Source organism: Homo sapiens, chromosome 22 (genome assembly GCF_000001405.40).
Source record: "Homo sapiens chromosome 22, GRCh38.p14 Primary Assembly".
Taxonomy (NCBI): Eukaryota; Metazoa; Chordata; class Mammalia; order Primates; family Hominidae; genus Homo; species Homo sapiens.
Window position 1 is genome coordinate 31853483 of NC_000022.11, and position 18085 is coordinate 31871567.

The 18085-nt window shown below is 45.4% G+C and overlaps 1 protein-coding gene across 37 annotated transcripts in view; it reads left to right on the top strand.

The window, feature by feature from the left end:
* The window catches only part of DEPDC5 (DEP domain containing 5, GATOR1 subcomplex subunit), a 154066-nt gene that overhangs the window by 99515 nt on the left and 36466 nt on the right, over positions 1 to 18085 (top strand). For 23 of the 37 annotated variants that reach the window (NR_157126.2, NR_146296.2, XR_007067997.1 and 20 more), the window contains 3 exons: positions 3963 to 4071; positions 7886 to 7951; positions 17108 to 17262. Coding sequence is in view for 31 of the 37 variants with exons in the window: in NM_001364318.2 (NP_001351247.1) it covers positions 3963 to 4071; positions 7886 to 7951; positions 17108 to 17262 (330 nt within the window). In the remaining 6 variants the exon portion in view is untranslated. The remainder of the gene's footprint in view (positions 1 to 3962; positions 4072 to 7885; positions 7952 to 17107; positions 17263 to 18085) is intronic. The other 14 variants (NR_157125.2, NR_157128.1, NR_110988.2 and 11 more) reach the window with 1 other exon arrangement.

Sequence of the window (18085 nt, forward strand, 5' to 3'; positions counted from 1 at the left end):
AGAATTTTTTATTTATGTGTTTTTCTTTTTCTTTCACTGCCCCAGATTCCATTTTATTATGCAAAACAACATACAGCAGACAACATACAGCAGCATGAAAGCGCTTACAGAATTTCACCTGTAGTCCCACCATCTTAACTGTGTATATTTCTTCCAGTTTTCTTCCCATCTTTATCTGTAGGCATATACATTTAGTCGGGCTCTTGTGAAAGACAGAAACCCTGGAATCTTAGCTTTGTGCTGATTAATAGCAGTGGGACCAGTCTGGGCAGCAGGTGCTGGCCAGTGGGCTTTTCTGTTCCTATTAGATGAGGATGACAGCCAAGTCAGGGCAGAGAGAGAGAGACCCCACCAAAGCAGATGGACATTCATGTTCTGTCCAAGGTGGCTCTAGTATGTGCGTCTTACTCAGGCCTTTCTGGGGAAAGCCTGCCAGCAATGAGCCACAGTGTGCCATCTGCCTGCAGAGGCACGTGAAGGGCGTCTGCGTGCTTTTACCCTTCCTGCTTCTGTGTAGGCTGTGTCTTCCTCCTGCCCACCCTTTAAGGCCCACCCGGTGCATATGTGTCACTACCTCCATGGAGGTGTGGCTAGTGACCCCCTCCTGGCTGAACATACCTGAGCATGCCCTCATGTATGTTCTCATGTATGTTCTCATGTATACACATATGCATTGTACCTGGTGGTTTTGTGGCAGTCCCCTCTTCCTGAGCCATTAGAAGAAGAGCTTCTAAGGGCAAGGACAGGGTCAGTCTTCTTCTCAGAATCCCTGACTCCTAGTCAGTGCATCAGCATATAGCAGGTGACTCAGTACATGTGGACTGTCGTGTGCATCAGATGACAAATCCAAGTGGTCACTGGGGATGCAAGAATCTCACAGCATGCATTTGTGGATGAGGCTTGGAGGAAAACACACTGCATTGTGATAGAAAGAGAGACTGTGGTGTCAGTGGACAAGGAAAATAATCTAGCACCTAGTTTTTTGTCCTGTGAATTACACCTTAGAGCATCCAAGTAATTGGTGTGGGGAAGTTTCTCTTTTTAAAATATCCCAGCTAATAAATACAGAAGGAATGATGGACTGTCACTGTGTATAGTCTCTGATGAATGAATGGATCTAGCAAAGATTATCAGTGGCAGCTCACATCATAAGAGAGAGGCAGCCATTCTGGGCCTCCAGGCAGAAGTGCACGGTACCACTTAGGAAGAATAGTGGCCCAAAATTTGACCAAAATCTGCCCAAATCCCTTGATGTAACTTCTGCTTCTCAGGAAGTACAGGGCACAGAAGAACATGTTATATAATAAAGGGATGTAATCAGCACATCCAGACTGTGTAAGTTTACAGGGCTAAAGAGCTACTTTCTTTAACAAATAAATTGCAAGGATAAGGAGAGATGAAGAGGAGCTTATACCTTAAAAAGGACTTAAGAGATATAATGTATGACAATGTAAGGACTTAATTGAGTCTTGCTGGTTTTTTTTTTTTTTTTCTTTTTTTAAGACAGAGTCTTGTTGTGTCGCCCAGGCTGCAGTGCTGTGGCACAATCTCGGCTCACTGCAACCTCTGCCTCCCAGGTTCAAGCGATTCTCCTGCCTCAGCCTCCAGAGTAGCTGGGACTACAGACGTGCGCCACCACGCCTGGCTAATTTTTGTATTTTTAGTAGAGACAGAGTTTCACCATGTTGGCCAGGATGGTCTCAATCTTCTGACCTCGTGATCCACCCACCTTGGCCTCCCAAAGTCCTGGGATAACAGGTGTGAGCCACTGTGCCCAGCTAAAAAAATTTTTTTGAGACAATTGAGGAAATATTTGACATTAGAAAAATTGTTATCTTTTAGAGATACTGAAATGTTTAAGGATGAAACAATGTGTGAGTTTTGCTTCAAAATATTTCTTTTTTTTTTTTTTGCGACGGAGTCTCGCTCTGTCGCCCAGGCTGGAGTGCAGTGGCGCGATATCGGCTCATTGCAAGTGCCGCTTCCCAGGTTCACGCCATTCTCCTGCCTCAGCCTCCCAAGTAGTTGGGACTACAGGCGCCCGCCACAACGCCCGGCTAATTTTTTTTGTATTTTTAGTAGAGACGGGGTTTCACTGTGTTAGCCAGGATGGTCTCGATCTCTTGACCTCGTGATCCGCCTGCCTCGGCCTCCCAAAGTGCTGGGATTACAGGCGTGAGCCACTGCGCCTGGCCAACTTCAAAATATTTCATGTGGGTAGGCAGGGTGTATGGATGAAACCGGAATGGCTCTAATGATATAATTTTGGTAAGGGATATGTAGGGGTTCATTATATTGTCCTCTTTACTTTTGTATATGTTTGTATTTTTTCAGAATGTAAAAAAAAAAATTTAAGGGAGAGTGCAACAGGTTACTATGGAAACATATTTTTGCATCCCTGGTATGTGATTACTTCTCATTGAGTAACAAAAGTGTCAGAATTTAAGATAAGAAAAGTGTTGCAAATTGGGTTCTCAGGGAAGCGGACTGAGATGGGGTGTAGCATATAGGATGCTTATTAAGGAGAGCCCTTGGGCACAACACCTGTGGGAGAGATGGGGAAGAAACCGGAGTGGGTGCCAAGAGAAGCTGGACTACAGCCCAGACCCAGTGACAGCCTCAGGAGATCCCACTGGAACAGCCCTCAGAGATGTGCTGAGTTGGGCCAACGCGCACACACACACACACACACACACACACACACACACTTCATTGCCTATGACACACACACACACACTTCATTGCCTATGACACACACACACACACACACACTTCATTGCCTATGGCAGCCCATGCAGCTGGGGCTGTCCCTGAAGGGGCCAACAACTGAGACAGAGCCTCCTAGACAGCCCTCTCAGTGCTGGGACAACAACAAGGCCATGGTGGAGGGGGCTGGGACCTGCCTCGCACTGTCCATCACAAGAAGTAATATATATTATAGTAATAATGAAGCACTTAAGACTTCAGTGTGAGCCTTCTGAAACCTAACAATAAAACAGTGATATATTAAAGCAACATAATTTAATCTAAAATAAAGTGTAGTTAATTTTAGAACAGAAAAAAATTAGGAAAATAAACATGAAAATATTCATTCATGTACATCAGAACCGAGATGGGGTGAGATGTCGTAAGGATACTGTATTTGTCTTGCGTTATGAGATAATGTCTGTTAGTTTGGTTTGGAGGGTGATGTAGCTATGTACATTTGAAAGATTAACCTATAAATCCCTTCAAAATGTATAGAGAATTAACACATCTTCTCCTGTTTTATGCTGCATGTTAATGCAGTTTTTTGTTTGTTTGTTTGTTTGTTTGTTTGTTTTGTCGCACAGGCTGGAGTGCAGTGGCACCATCTCAGCTCACTGCGACCTCTGCCTCCTGAGTTCAAGTGATTCTCGTGCCTTAGCCTCCCGAGTAGCTGCGACTGTAGGCGTGCACTGCCACACCGGGCTAATTTTTTGTATTTTTAGTAGAGATGGGGTTTCACCATGTTGACCAGGCTGGTCTCAAACCCCTGACCTCAGATGATCCACCCACCTTGGCTTACCAAAGTGCGGGGTTTACAGGCATGAGCCACCACACAGTCTTAACATTCAGAATGTGCTTTTGCTGGTATATTAAATAAAAATTGAGAAAAAAGTACTTTTACAAGAATTTTAAAAATGGTGTTCACAGACAGTCACTCAAACCATGTCAGTCCCCTTTTTAAGGTCATATATAAGCACCAGATGCTGCCAGAATGCTTTTAAAGTTGGGCTATTTTCTGATTTACTGTGGAGGACTGGTGATTGTTCAGCACAATGAATGAAATTAAGGGTATCATGAAGGTCTGGAAAGGGAAACAAGGCAGAAGTGTGTGTTTCAAAGATGACAGCAACAGAGCTGTCTGCATCTTGGCCGACATGGATCCTTCACCAGGGAGCTCTGAGCAAGCTGCTGTCATGTGCTTTTCCTCCTTTCAGGTGCCTGGGAGAACAGCAGGCAGCTGTGCATGGTGGGAAGAGCTCCGCCCAGTCAGCCGAGAGCAGCAGCGTTGCCATGACTCCCACCTACATGGACAGCCCACGAAAGGTAAAGGAAGCCGCGGTAGCAGGGAGCTGTTCTGTGCTCTCAGAGACTCAGTGTGGAGGGTAAAACAGATCGCCCTTCAGATCCGGGATTGCATGTGCAGAGGCTTTGGATGAATTCTACCCTGAACCCTTTAAAGGTTCTATTACTGTTACTACTTTTATATAGGGACTTTCTTATTCACAGTTGTAAGGAAGCTAACTTCTAGTTAAATCCGGATATAAAACGGTCAGTCATGCTTGTAATCCCAGCACTTTGGGAGGCCGAGGCTGGAGGATCACTTGAGCCCAGGAGTTTGAGACCAGCATACGCAACATAAGGAGACACCATTTCTTAAAAAAATTAAAAATAAAATTAGCTAGATGTGGTGGTGTGTACCTGTAGTCTCAGCTACTCAGAAGGCTGAGGTGAGGGGATCCCTAGAGCCCAGGAGGTTGAGGTTGAAGTGAGCCATGATCACACGACTGCGCTCCAGCCTTGGGTGACGCAGTGAGACCCTGCCTCAAAAAAATAAAATACAACAGTTAAGCTAAACCTCTTTGGTTCAATGCCCAAGATCTGGCCTGAGCTTTGTATTTGGCCGTCTGGTTTTCCTTCACCCTCATCTTTAGCTTTCCCAGAGGGGAATAGAAAGCTACTGAAGTAGCTTCCACCAGAGCTCGCTCTTCTTTGATAATGAAATTCCCATCAGTTTTCTCAGACTGCTGAGAAATACAGTCAAATGGGAGTATCCTGGGGTGGGGGGAAAATACAGAAAACCTGAGACTTTAGGCCTCTATCAGGAACAAGTACAATAAAGAAGCCAAAAACTCCATGGGTCTTTTAAGACCAATAGACTTGGCTCTGTCAGCTCCTTCTGGGAAATTCAGATTCAGATCATTCTGTTGTGATAGGACAAGCTGACTGTACTTACCTCTCTCTTGTCCCTATCACTGGGAGATGAAGGAGATTCAATACATATATGTTATTTTTCAAAATTGTGGTCAAATGGTATATCTGTGTTTATTTTACCTCCATATCATGAAAATTTCTCATGTCATTAAATGTTTTACAAAAGCATGATTTTTAAAAATAATTATATACTTTTTTCTTTCGTTTTTTTTCCCCTAAGCAACCCCAAAGAAAAAAATAGCTATATATCATTTTATCATATGAATATGCCTTAATTTATAACTTCTTTTGGTTAAAATTGTAGATGGTGATTTTTAAATGATTTTTGGTATTTTTCTATAAACTTTAAGAATTATTCTACAGTATACCACAGTTATAATGTTGCAGTGAATATGCTTGGAATAATCATTTGACCACACCACTGATAATTCCTTAGCATAAATACTGTAATTACACTACATGGGTAGAGGGATAAAAATCTGAGAAGAAGTATCAGCCAAGGCTGTGGGCAACTTGTAAACCAAACGTTGGCAAACCTAAATACATATTTTAGACTTTGTGGCCAAGAGGCAAAGCAAAGCTATTGTGTAAGTATAGTATTTCCATAACTATTTAAAGTTGTAAAAACCATTCCTTTGTTTTTTTTTTTTTTTTTTTTTTTTTTTTTGAGACGGAGTCTCACTCTGTTGCCCAGGCTGGAGTGCAGTGGCGCGATCTCGGCTCACTGCAAGCTTTGCCTCCTGGGTTCACGCCATTCTCCTGCCTCAGCCTCCCAAGTAGCTGGGACTACAGGCGCCCGCCACCACGCCCAGCTAATTTTTTGTATTTTTTAGTAGAAACAAGGTTTCACTGTGTTAGCCAGGATGGTCTTGATCTCCTGACCTCGTGATCCGCCTGCCTCTGTCTCCCAAAGTGTTGGGATTACAGGCGTGAGCCACTGCGCCCGGCTTTTTTTTTTTTTTTTGAGACAGTCTTGCTCTGTCACCCAGGCTGAAGTGCAGTGGCACAGTCTTGGCTCACTGCAACTGCAACCTCAGCCTCCCGGGTTCAAGCAATTCTCCTGCCTCAGCCTCCCCAGTAGCTGGGATTACAGGCGTGCACCACCATGGCCAGCTAATTTTTTTTATTTTTAGTAGAGACAGGGTTTCACCGTGTTGGCCAGGTTGGTCCCAAACTCCTGACCTCAAGTGATCCACCCACCTCAGCCTCCCAAAGTGCTGGGATTACAGGCGTGAGCCACCATGCGCAGCCGTAAAAACCATTCTTAGCTCACTGGCTGTAAAAAAATCAGAGGGCTGGCCAGATTTGGCCTGCAAGCTGTAGTTTACCAACTGCTGCTCTAGGGAGTGGCATTAGGTACCAAGGACAGTCTGTGTGTAAGGAATGATCTGCTGACCATGAGTCTTTTCACCTGAACTCCTTCACATGTACATAAACCTCAACACCATCAGCACCTCTGCTTCTATATGTTCTGGCAGTTAGAAGGGACACAGTGGAACAATGAGATAAAATTACCCTGTGTGCTGTCCACCAGGTTTTGCCTCTACTCATTGCCATCTTTGAGGGTCAGAAACAGTGCTGAGGACATGACTGAAAAGCAGAGAAATTATAGTCGCAAATATATTAGATTGCTGTTTAGAACCCTCTCCTGATTGTCCAGGTGAACGCTAAAATCCACATGCATGACCCATCAGTAGGGCTGGAAGTAAACTCCTGAATAGTCAGGGGAAACAAAATGCTATGAGATGGCCAAAGCAGAGAGCCCTGCTGACATGCTCAGAAATGCCCAACTGTTTCCCCAAGGAACACTTCATGTTAGAATGCGTTGGGGGTACCTGCATCAGCATCTCCGCAGCCACAAGTTTCCAAGGTTTCGTATTGGAGTTTGCAGTCACTTACGGGAAGTGGCAGCAGTATCAATAAAATGGGCACCCAAATATTTCAGTTATTCTACCTTTGGAATTGAGGAAAAGTTCCAGAAAAGCAGAGAACTTGAGATGTGTCAAGTGCCATTCCTGAATTTCTATGATAACCAGACATAAAAAGTAAAAAGATTCCGAAAGGAAAGAGGGTACTACTTAAGAATGATGGAAGGAGGGGTCATTGAAAAAGTCCTCCGTGTCATTTTTGTTTCACAGACATGGCTGCTTGAATTCCACAAGGGTAGGGTAGGGAGGGAATGACAGCTTTAGAAAGCCCCTCACAATGTGAGTGCTTGTGTATCTGACATTATATATGTCTTAGCTTGCTGATGATTTTGTTACACAACCAGTGGAGGAGAAGGTATGGCTGCTTCTGTATCCCCTGTTTGCTAAAAAAAAACTAAGCAAGAACTTACCCTGCCTTGAATCCTCTCCTCCCATCTGGCTGCCCATGTTTAGTAACAGGCAGAAAAAACCTCCTGGCTCAATGTATCTCTCCAAGAGGGCGACTGGTCACCCAGCCAGGTGGGAGGCCAGGATGTTGCCACCAAAGCCCTTACCCTGCAGCCCCACCAAGCTGCTCTGCGGCCTTTTCATCTTCCTTGGCATAGGTCTGAAGGAATTTCAGAGCTATGTGGGAGGGTGAGAGCATCCAAGCCACACTCTGATGAGACCTGAGAGAGCTTGGACACACCTTCCAACCTGGGTGCTTTCTCCCACACAGATGGGATATTCTGCCCAGGAAGGTGTGAGTTTCTGCTAATGCTTCGCATTTGGATATTGTCTTTCTGGGTGGCGCTCTCTCTCTCTCTCTCTTTTTTTTTTTTTTTAATTTTCCCTATCCTCTTCATATGTCCTTGTTTCTCTCCTTCCCTCCTTGTTTTTATTTTTATTTTTTGTTTTTTATACCTGTCTCCTTCCCCTGATGGTTAACCACTGGTACACATTCCGTTTCTTCGCTTCCTTGCAACTGCTGCTGCTGCTTCCTCCTCCTGTGACTTCAGGACGGGGCCTTCTTTATGGAGTTTGTCCGCAGCCCACGCACAGCATCGTCCGCCTTCTACCCTCAGGTTAGTCCAACTCCAGGGCTTCGCATGCCTGTCCCACTGGCAGACGCCATGAGCTGGCCTTCTGTTAGGCTCTGAACACATGGAATTGGGCTGCAACTAAGTTTGGGGGGCAGTTGAACTTGAATTTGGTCTCAGAATTGTACATTCTCTTCCATGTTGTTTGTGGCGGCGAAGGGGGGGATGGAAGAGGTTAATGTAGAAGAACATATGATTGTACCAGTGATGACTCAAGTGTTTCTCATCACTGTCTGTTTCACATAGTTGTCACTGATTCTCTGCCACTTTGCAGCATCTTCACTTTTAGGTTTTATGAGCAACATGAAATATGCTTAGTTAAGGGCTGAACACTTATTTTTTTCCCCTCCCAATACAACCAGATAAATTTATAACAGTGTGGCAGGAAGTGGTGAAAAAACACAGCAAATATTTATTCATAGGCATGTGCTAATGCATAGGCCAAAGGTGTAGCTCACCTAGCTTCTGGATTTCACTTAAATTATTTGTCAGTTAAAAGATTTGGATGAGCCGGGTGCGGTGGCTCACGCCTGTAATCCCAGCACTTTGGGAGGCCGAGGCGGGCAGATCACCTGAGGTCAGGAGTTCAGTTTGAGACCAGCCTCAACATGGAGAAACCCCATCTCTACTAAAAATACAAAAAATTAGCTGGGCGTGGTGGTGCATGCCTGTAATCCCAGCTACTCGGGAGGCTGAGGCAGGAGAATTGCTTGAACCTGGGAGGTGGAGGTTGCAGTGAGCCGAGATCGTGCCATTGCACTCCAGCCTGGGCAACAAGAGCGAAACTCCATCTCAATAAATAAATAAATAAATAAAAATAAAAGATTTGGACGAGGCCAGGCACAGTGGCTCACGCCTGTAATCCTAGCACTTTGGGAGGCCAAGACAGGAGGATCACTTGAGGTCAGGAGTTTGAGACCAGCTGGGCCAACATGGCAAAACCCCATCTCTACTAAAATTGCAAAAAGTAGTCGGGCATGGTGGCACATGCTGGTAATCCCAGCTACTCAGGAGGCTGAGGCAGGAGAATCGCTTGAACCCAGGAGGCAGAGGTTGCAGTGAGCCAAAATTGCACCACTGCACTCCAGCCTGGCGACAGAGCCAGAGTCCATCTCAAAAAAAATAATAATAACAAAATAGAATTTTTTAAAATGAGAAAAGAAAAAGTTGTTAGCTGGTTAGTGGGCATATAGCTAGTGAGTGACTGAGCTCTTATATCATTCTGCCCACTGCACTGGGAGGGTAAGGGTTTAGTTAACATTGGAACAGGTCAGAGGTACCATGCCTTTCTGTGTAGGTCTTCGGATATCCCCACCTGCCTCTTCCCAGTGAGCTGTGTAACCATAGGCAAATCCCTGTAAGGACCTTTGAGTCCTAATCTAAGCATCTCTAAAATCTGAGTGTGGGTAGCACACTGTGTTTTTGGTTTAAAACAAACATTGGTTGATCCTTTTCACCTTTTACTTTCTTTTTTTTAGAGGTAGTATCTTACTCGGTTGTCCAGGCTGGAGTCCAGCCTCAGCGTCCCAAGTAGCTGGGAGTATAGGTATGAACCACCATACACAGCTAATTTTTTATTTTTTTAGAGGTAGGGTCTTGCTATGTTGCCCAGGCTGGTCAACTCCTGGTGTCAAGTGATTCTCCTGCCTTGGCCTCCCAAAGCACTGGGATTACAGGCATGAGCCACTGTGTCTGGCCATTAACCTTTTACTTTGTGGTTTTTTGTTTTTGTGTTGAGACAGAGTTTCACTCTAGCTGCCCAGGCTGGAGTGCAGTGGTTCAATGTCAGCTCACTGCCACCTCCACCTCGAAGGTTCAAGCATTTCTCTTGCCTCAGCCTCCCCAGTAGCTAGGATTACAGGTGTGCACCACAACGCCCGGCTAACTTTTGTATTATTAGTAGAGAAGGGGTTTCGCCATGTTGGCCAGGCTGGTCTTGAACTCCTGACCTCAGGTGATACGCCCACCTTGGCCTCTGAAAGTGCTAGGATTACAGGCGTGAGCCATTGTGCCTGGCCACCTTTTACATTCTTATAGGAGACTGTTATGGAAAGTTTTAGACTCAGGAGAGGCACACAAATAAGGATTATATTACCCACCAGGTGTTTTGTTGAAAAGGCAGGAAGTGAGGTGGGAAGATCACTTGAGCCCAGGAGAATAAGACCAGCCTGGACAATATCGTAAAACCCTGTCTGTAATTTTTTAAAAATATATACATAAAAAAATTATATTAGGAGGCCAAGGCAGACAGATCACTTGAGGTCAGGAGTTCGAGACCAACCTGGTCAATATGGTGAAACCCCATCTCTAATAAAAATACAAAAATTAGACCGGGCTCGTGGCGTGCGCCTGTAGTCCCAGTTACTTGAGAGGGTGAGGGAGGAGAATTGCTTGAACCTAGGAAGCAGAGGTTGCAGTGAGCCGAGATTGTGCCACTGCACTCCAGCCTGGGCAACAGAGTGAGACTCCATCTGAAAAAAAACAAAAAAAAATTATATCAGAAGTAGTAAGAGCTCATTATACATACACAAAATTAAATTGTACCTTATGTTTATTTATTATTTACTGTGGTAAAATACACAACATAAAACTTGCTTTGTGTATTTTCTGATGTGCAGCATAGAATGGAGGAGGGAGGCCAATGGAGTCAGTTGGATGCTTTCTTTTTTTTTTTTTTGAGATGGAATTTCATTCTTGTTGCCCAGGCTGGAGTACAATGGCGCAGTCTCTGCTCACTGCAACCTCTGCCTCCCGGGTTCAAGTGATTGTCCTGCCCCAGCCTCCCTAGTAGTTGGGATTACAGGCATGCACCACCATGCCCGGCTAATTTTTTGTATTTTTAGTAGAAATGGGGTTTCACCATGTTAGGCTGCTCTCGAACTCCTAACCTCAGGTGATCCACCTGCCTCAGCCTCCCAAAGTGCTGGGATTACAGGCAGGAGCCACCACCACACCTGGCCCAGATGGCTGCTTTCAAATCTTGACCTCTGTGCAATGTTAGGGAGCTGTGTTAGGCACATGAATTAACCTTCTGAACCTGTTTCTTCATTAAAATATATATATATATATATATATATTTATATATTTATTTATTTACTGTGTGTATTTCTTCATTTGTAAAAGGAAATAAAAAATAATTTCTTTGTAGGGTTGTTCTGAGGATTAGAAATAATATCCATTTCTCAGTCATGCGTGGTGGCTCAAGCCTATAATCCCAGCACTTTGGGAGGCCAAAGTACTGGGATCTCACTTTTTTTTGAGATGGAGTCTTGCTCTGTTGCCCAGGCTCAAATGCAGTGGTGCGATCTCAGCCCACTGTAACCTCCGCCTCCTGGGTTCAAGTGATTCTTCTGCCTCAGCCTCCCAGGTAGCTAGGACTACAGGCATCTGCCACCACAGCCAGATATTTTTTTTGTATTTTTAGTAGAGATGGGGTTTCACCATGCTGGCCAGGCTGGTCTCCAACTCCTGACCTCAAGTGATCCACCCGCCTTGGCCTCCCAAAGTGCTGGGATTACAGAAGTGAGCCATCGCGCTTGGCCTAATTTTGTAGTTTTAGTAGAGACGGGGTTTTGCTATGTTGGCCACGCTGGTCTCGAACTCCTGACCTCAGGTGATCTACCCGCCTCGGCCTCCCAAAGTGCTGGGATTACAGGCGTAAGCCACCGCACCCAGCCGTATTTTTTTTATCTTATTGTATGTCTGTTTATTAGTAGCCTCACCTTTTTTGGAATGATGTAAGATGTAAAAATATAAGTAACGCCAGGCGCAGCAGCCCACGCATGTAATCCCAGCACTTTGAGAGGTGGAGGCAGGAAGATCCCTATTAGTCCAGGAGTTTGAAATCAGCCTGGGCAACACAGTGAGACCTTGTCTTTACAAAAAATAAAAATAAATTAGCTGGGTGTCGTGGTGCATGCCTGCGGTCTCAGTTATTTGAGAGACTGAAGAGGGAGGAGTGCTTGAGTCTGGGAGGTTGAGGTGGGGACAGTGACCATGATTGTGCTACTGCACTCCAGCCCGGGCGACAGAGCAAGACCTGTCTCAAAACAAAACAAAACAAAACAAAACAAAACATATATATATAACCATTTGGAGCGAGGGGTTAGGATGGACACATAGAGGAAGGAGGCTGCCTCTGTGACAAAATTCATATCAATTGAGATAGCAAATTCCAAGCACCTGCTGGGTGTAGGGCTGTGCCAAGTGTTGTGGGAAATAACAGGGATGAATAAAATCCTTTATGAATATTAATGCCTGTCTTTGCTCACCGCTAGATGGCAAGCTTCATGAGGGCAGAGAGAAGGTTTTAATTTGGGATAATATTCCCCTTCCCTAATCTTAACCTTGGAGAACATCTGAGCTGTGGGTCTGCAAGTTATTCCCAAGCTTTCCCTCTCTGCAAGGCATATGGGATTCTGTTGTGGATCCCTTTGCAATGCCTCTGTCTGCGTGGCAGGAGCTGAGTGACTGGAAAGCAGGAGCCCACTTAGCCCATTTGTCTCCGGGTAAGACAAAGGGGAGTGTCATCTCTACCAGCCTCCAGGCACAGTGGAGAGCTGGGCTGGCAGATCCAGCTGTTTCCTTGTAGCTGATGACCCACCAGCATGAGAAAGTGGGGCTGTGACAAGCCCACGAGGTGGAAGGTAGAAGACCCATGGGGGATGCCTGTGGTGGGTGGTGCTAATCTCAGAGGCATCTCTAACAGGGTTCCCTCCCTTACTTTCTCCTGTAGCTTGGGAGTGCCAGAAAGTGGGGGGAAATTGGGGATTGGTGCTGCTGCTGAGAGGTTTGGTTTTTTTTTAATCAAACGCCAGACTTGGATTTTGCCATTTTTTTCAATTAATGTCTTCTTTCTATTCTAGGATCCAATCTTGGGTACCACATTGCCTGGCTTCCCAGTCTCTTCTAATCTGTGACTGTTTCTCAGGCTTTCCTTACATTTTTCTTTCTTTTTTGAGACAGTCTCGCTCTGTCGCCAGGCTGGAATGCAGTGGCGTGATCTCAGCTCACTGCAACCTCCGCCTCCCGAGTTCAAGCGATTCTCCTGCCTCAGCCTCCCAAGTAGCTGGGATTACAGGCACACGCTGCCATGCCCAGCTAATCTTTGTATTTTTAGTAGAGACAGGGTTTCACCATGTTGGCCAGGATGGTCTCCATCTCCTGACCTTGTGATCCGCCCACCTCGGCCTCCCAAAGTGCTGCGATTACAGGTGTGAGCCACCGCGCCCAGCCCTTTCCTTACTTTTTAAAATGACCTTCACAGCCTTGAGGAGTCCTGGCCAGGTGTCCTGTAGAATGTCCCCAAATCTGGGTTTGTCCGAGGTTTTTTTTCATGGTTAGACTGGAGTTACAGATACTCAAAAAGAATACCCCAGAGGGGAAGTGCCCTTCTCATCACATCACATCAGTAGGTACCTGAGATCCACACAACATCACTGGCGACGATAATCTTCATCACTCCTTCATCACTTGGTTAATGTCATATTTGTTAGCCATCTCTACTATGAAGTTACTATGTTTTCCTTTTTTATACTCCATTTATTGGAGGCACATCACTAAGTCTAGCCCACTCTAAAGCGGAGGGGGGAGTATCTACATATGTTCAGTGGAGTCCTTTTTTCGGACAAGGTTCATAAGATTCTTAAGATGAAAGGCATCTCCCTTTACTTGGCTCTTTGCCAGGAATCTACGTGCGACATCTGCCATTCTCTCCATCCTACCTGCTATTTATCTTTGTTCACCACTGATCTTATTCCAAAAAGTTATTTCATGTGGATCATGGAAGTAAATGCAACCCCTAAAATAAAAACATGACTAGATGGGGGAAATTCAGGTAAAGAAAAAAAATAAGACAGGATGTAATATAAGGCCTTGTAAAGTAGATAGAATTTTGTGCCAAATTCAGCTCTGAACCTCCTGGTAGCCAAAGAAAAGTGGGAAACCTCTGTTCCAAGACTCATAGTGGTTATAAAATAAAGACAACCAGATTCCTTGGGAGAAGCATACCTTTTCCTGGTATTAGGATCTAAACAAAATGCCTTTTCTGTGCAGCCTCTTAAAAGATACACATTGTGTGATACATAGATAGAGCAGAGGTCAGGAAACTATAGGGCAGATCTGGTCTACCATCTGCTTTTGTAAATGAAGTTTTATTGTAATAGAGCCACACCCATTCATTTACATATTGCCTGTGGCTGCTTTCTCACTTTCTTACTCAAAGTTGAGTAGTTGTGACAGAGACCCTATGGCCCACAAAGCCTGAAATATTTACTCTCTGGTCTCTTGCAAAAAATGTTTCCCAATTCCTGATCCAGAGGACAACTCTTTAACCACCCCCTACCCCGGCTCCCACCAAAATAGGACTGCAGGACTAATGTGCATTTCTGGTAATGGCCTTCACGTTAGGCTGGTAGAGCAATTCTTGTTATAGTACATGAGAGAACCCCACTACAGGGGCCCAGAAGGCAATGCCTAAGAGCCACTCTTATATGCATAAGAGCTGGTTCTAGTCCCCTTTAGTTAGCTTATTCTCATTTAAATTTACGGCATGGTCTCATTTAAATTTACAGCATGGTAAACCTTACTGGTTAGAGGCAGGTGGTAATTGGTAATTGCAAGCTGTCTCTTGCTGCATTTCTCTGTGTGTTTATGGTGCCAGCAAAACCTGTGTGGTCCTTTTTATTATTATTGTTATTTTTTTAACAAATCATTGAGCCTGCTATAGAACAGCAAAATGGTTCTATGAGAACCAGGAGGAACTTTACCCCCCAAGGGACATTTGGTAATATCTGGAGACATTTTTATTTGTCATAATTGGGGGTTGGGGCTGATAGTATTACTGGCATCAAGTGGGTAGAAGCCAGGGATGCTTCTGAACATCCAGCAATGCACAGGACAGCCCCCCACAGCAAACAGTTATCTGACCCCAGAGGGCAATACTGCTGAGACTGAGAAGCCTTGTTTTATTTTCTTCATTTTATTTATTTATTTTTTTGAGACAGGGTCTCTCTCTGTCGCCCAGGCTGGAGTGCAGTGGCAGGATCCCAGCTCACAGCAACCTCCGCTTCCCGGGTGAAGCAGTCTTCTCACTTCACTCTCCCAAGTAGCTGGGACTACAGGCGTGTGCCACCACGCCTGGCTAATTTTTGCATTTTTTGTAGAAATGGGGTTTCACCGTGTTGCCTAGGGTGGCCTCGAACTCCTGGACTCAAGTGATCCACTCGCCTTCGCCTCCCAAAGTGCCAAGATTACAGGCGTGAGCCACCGCACCCAGCTGAGAAGCTTTGTTTTAGAAAGCAATTTTTGCTAACAAAATATCTGATAGAAAGATCCCTTCTGGAAGTACCTAAAAACCTCAAGTTAGGAGGTTCTAAGAGCCTTACACTTTTCCAGAATTGCTCTAAAAGACTTAGTCATTCTCTTCATATACTTGCTCTGGGTATAATCTTTGATGCATGCTGCTGGGCTTCCGGGTGAACAGGTTATAATCCTGCCTCCAGGACCCTTAAAGGTGATATAACAACATTACAGGCTGTAATCCCAGCACTTTGGGAGGCTGAGGCGGAAGGATCAGTTGAACCCAGGAGTTTGAGATCAGCCGAGGCAACATAGCTAGACTCTGTCTCTACACACAAAAAAAAGTCAGGTATGGTGGCGCATGCCTGTAGTCCCAGTTACTTGGAAGGCTGAGACAGGAGGATTGCTTGAGCCCAAGAGTTTGAGGTTACAGTGAGATGTGATGGCACCATTGCACTCCAGCCTGAGCAAAAGAGGGCAACCCTGTCTCTGGAAAAAAAAAAAAAAAGATGCAGCACCATTACATGAGGCACAGCTTGGCAGCTACCAGAAGCTCATAGAGGTCCAGAGTAGAGAGGGAGATGGATCTCCTTGAGGCCTCGGGCGGACTGAATCGGAACAGTTTGCTAAGGGAGCAGCGTTTAAAATGGCCCTAAAGACTGATGGGATTAGCCAGGTGTGGTGGCTCCCACCTGTAATCCCTGCTACTTGAGAGTCTGAGGCAGGAGAATCGCTTGAACCCAGGAGGCAGAGGTTGCAGTGAGCCGAGATTGCGCCACTGCACTCCAGCCTCGGTGACAGAGCAAGAGTCTGTCTTTAAAAAAAAAAAAAAAAAAAAAGACTGATAGGTTTTTAGCCACTAGTTGTGGAGAAGAGCACCCCAGGGCGATATGGGGCACATAGACAGGATTTATACACACACGGTGTCATTTGGCTGGACACATACACATGGGTGAATGGTAGGCAGTGTGGTGAGATCTCAGGTCAAGCCAATGTTGTGCAGGACCCGTGATGTCCTGTGAGTCGGTTTTCAGTGTGGTGGTTCATGGGGAGACTTGAAAGTTTTCAGAGTAACAGAATGATGGGATTGGAACTGTTCTTGACAGACGATGCAAATGGAGCTGGCTCACAGGGAGGGTTTTTGAGGGAGAGGCTGCAATCAGGGGCTATTTAGAAGAATGTTACAGCCCTCCCTGGCCAGAGGAAGTACAGGCATGATTTAGAGATGCATGTGAATCTGCAGAGGGCAGGCCGTGGGACTAGGCCTGTCTTTAGATGCAAAGCTGGAGAAGAGAGCTATCAGATGGCTCTGAGAGTTGAACCTGAGCAAACTGAAAGGTAGAAGAAAGGAGGTTTTGGGTGGGAAAGGGTGAGTCACGGTAGGCAGAAGATGTACATTGTGATGTTCACCTATTTGTCTCTAAATGTGGTCTTTCAGTCCTGCTGTCCTCATAAGGAGTGATTCTGACTTCTCCACTCTTTCTATGGAGATTTTTCTTTAGTGTAAATCGTGTGGTTTGAGGCAGGTGCTGAAGCGATTTCTTTGGTCCTGGGGATTTACTGTGAAGAGTGGCCTCTCATCTGCCCTGGTTGGAGGGTGGGAGTTCCCAGCTGCTCTGATAGAAGGCAGTGCACACAAGACTGGGTAGAGTCTCTAGACAACTTTAGCTGTGCCACTAGGGACCAAGGGGTAGTGGGAATGAGCAGAATGGGAAGGATTGCATTAATTTTTGTTTATTTTTTGTGAATGCTTACTGAGTGAATAAGCCAGTACAGCTTATTTACTGTGTTTTCCTGTCAGTTATTTTTGGAATCAAGTATTCATTTTTAAATCTCCTGCAGGTATCTGTGGACCAAACAGCCACTCCTATGTTGGACGGCACCAGTTTGGGCATATGCACAGGCCAATCCATGGACAGAGGCAACAGCCAGACCTTTGGGAACTCCCAGAACATAGGAGAACAGGGCTACTCCTCCACAAACTCCAGTGACAGCAGGTGAGATTCAGAGTGGCCAAACTCATGTTCCTGGGGAGTGGGGACAGTCTGATCTCAAAGGCTGCAGAGGCTGAAGTCCAAAGCTCTGGGCCGAGTTCTGACTCTGCCACAAGTCACATGCGACCCTGGGCAAGTTAGTCCTTAACCACATCTGTATGATGGGACTAATGATCTGTTTCCTGCCATCCTCACAGGATAGCTAAGAGGTTCCCACAGAGATGTAGGAAAGTGTCAGGCACCACACAGGAGTACAGGGCTTCCGGAAGGGGGCTCTGTCCAGTCTGTCTTGTTCACTGTGGTGCCTGTGGCACAATGTCTTGCACGTCATAGCATGCTGTCAGTAAGGAAAAGAACAAACAGTGGATGAATCACTAATTGTGGCCAAACATGACTGTTCTTCTTCTATTCCTTAGTATCCGGAGGAAAAGGAAGCTGTGTGTACTTCATTTGCTCGAGCAAGTGCACCAGCTTTTACTACTGTTGTCAATTCTGAGAAACCGTTTTATTTTCTTCCCAGCTGTGTTTGCTTTATAGTAATTATGCCGCAGTCTTTTCTTATTGTCTCACTGTATTGACGAAGCAGTCCTTGGCAAAATCATCTAAGAGACTTAACTTTTATACCCCTGCCCTGAGAGCAGAAAGTTCTCTGGGGCTGCTCACCTGGCTGGCCTCTGTCAGGAGTCACTCCATTTCCCTTATGTCATAAATTCTGTGCTGGTGTAATCTGTGTCTCATCTACTGCAGCCTGTTCATTCTGGCCAGTAGAGGTGATGGTCATTTCAGAAGCAGGAGCAGGTCTGAACTTCTCTGCTCCCTGCCTTCG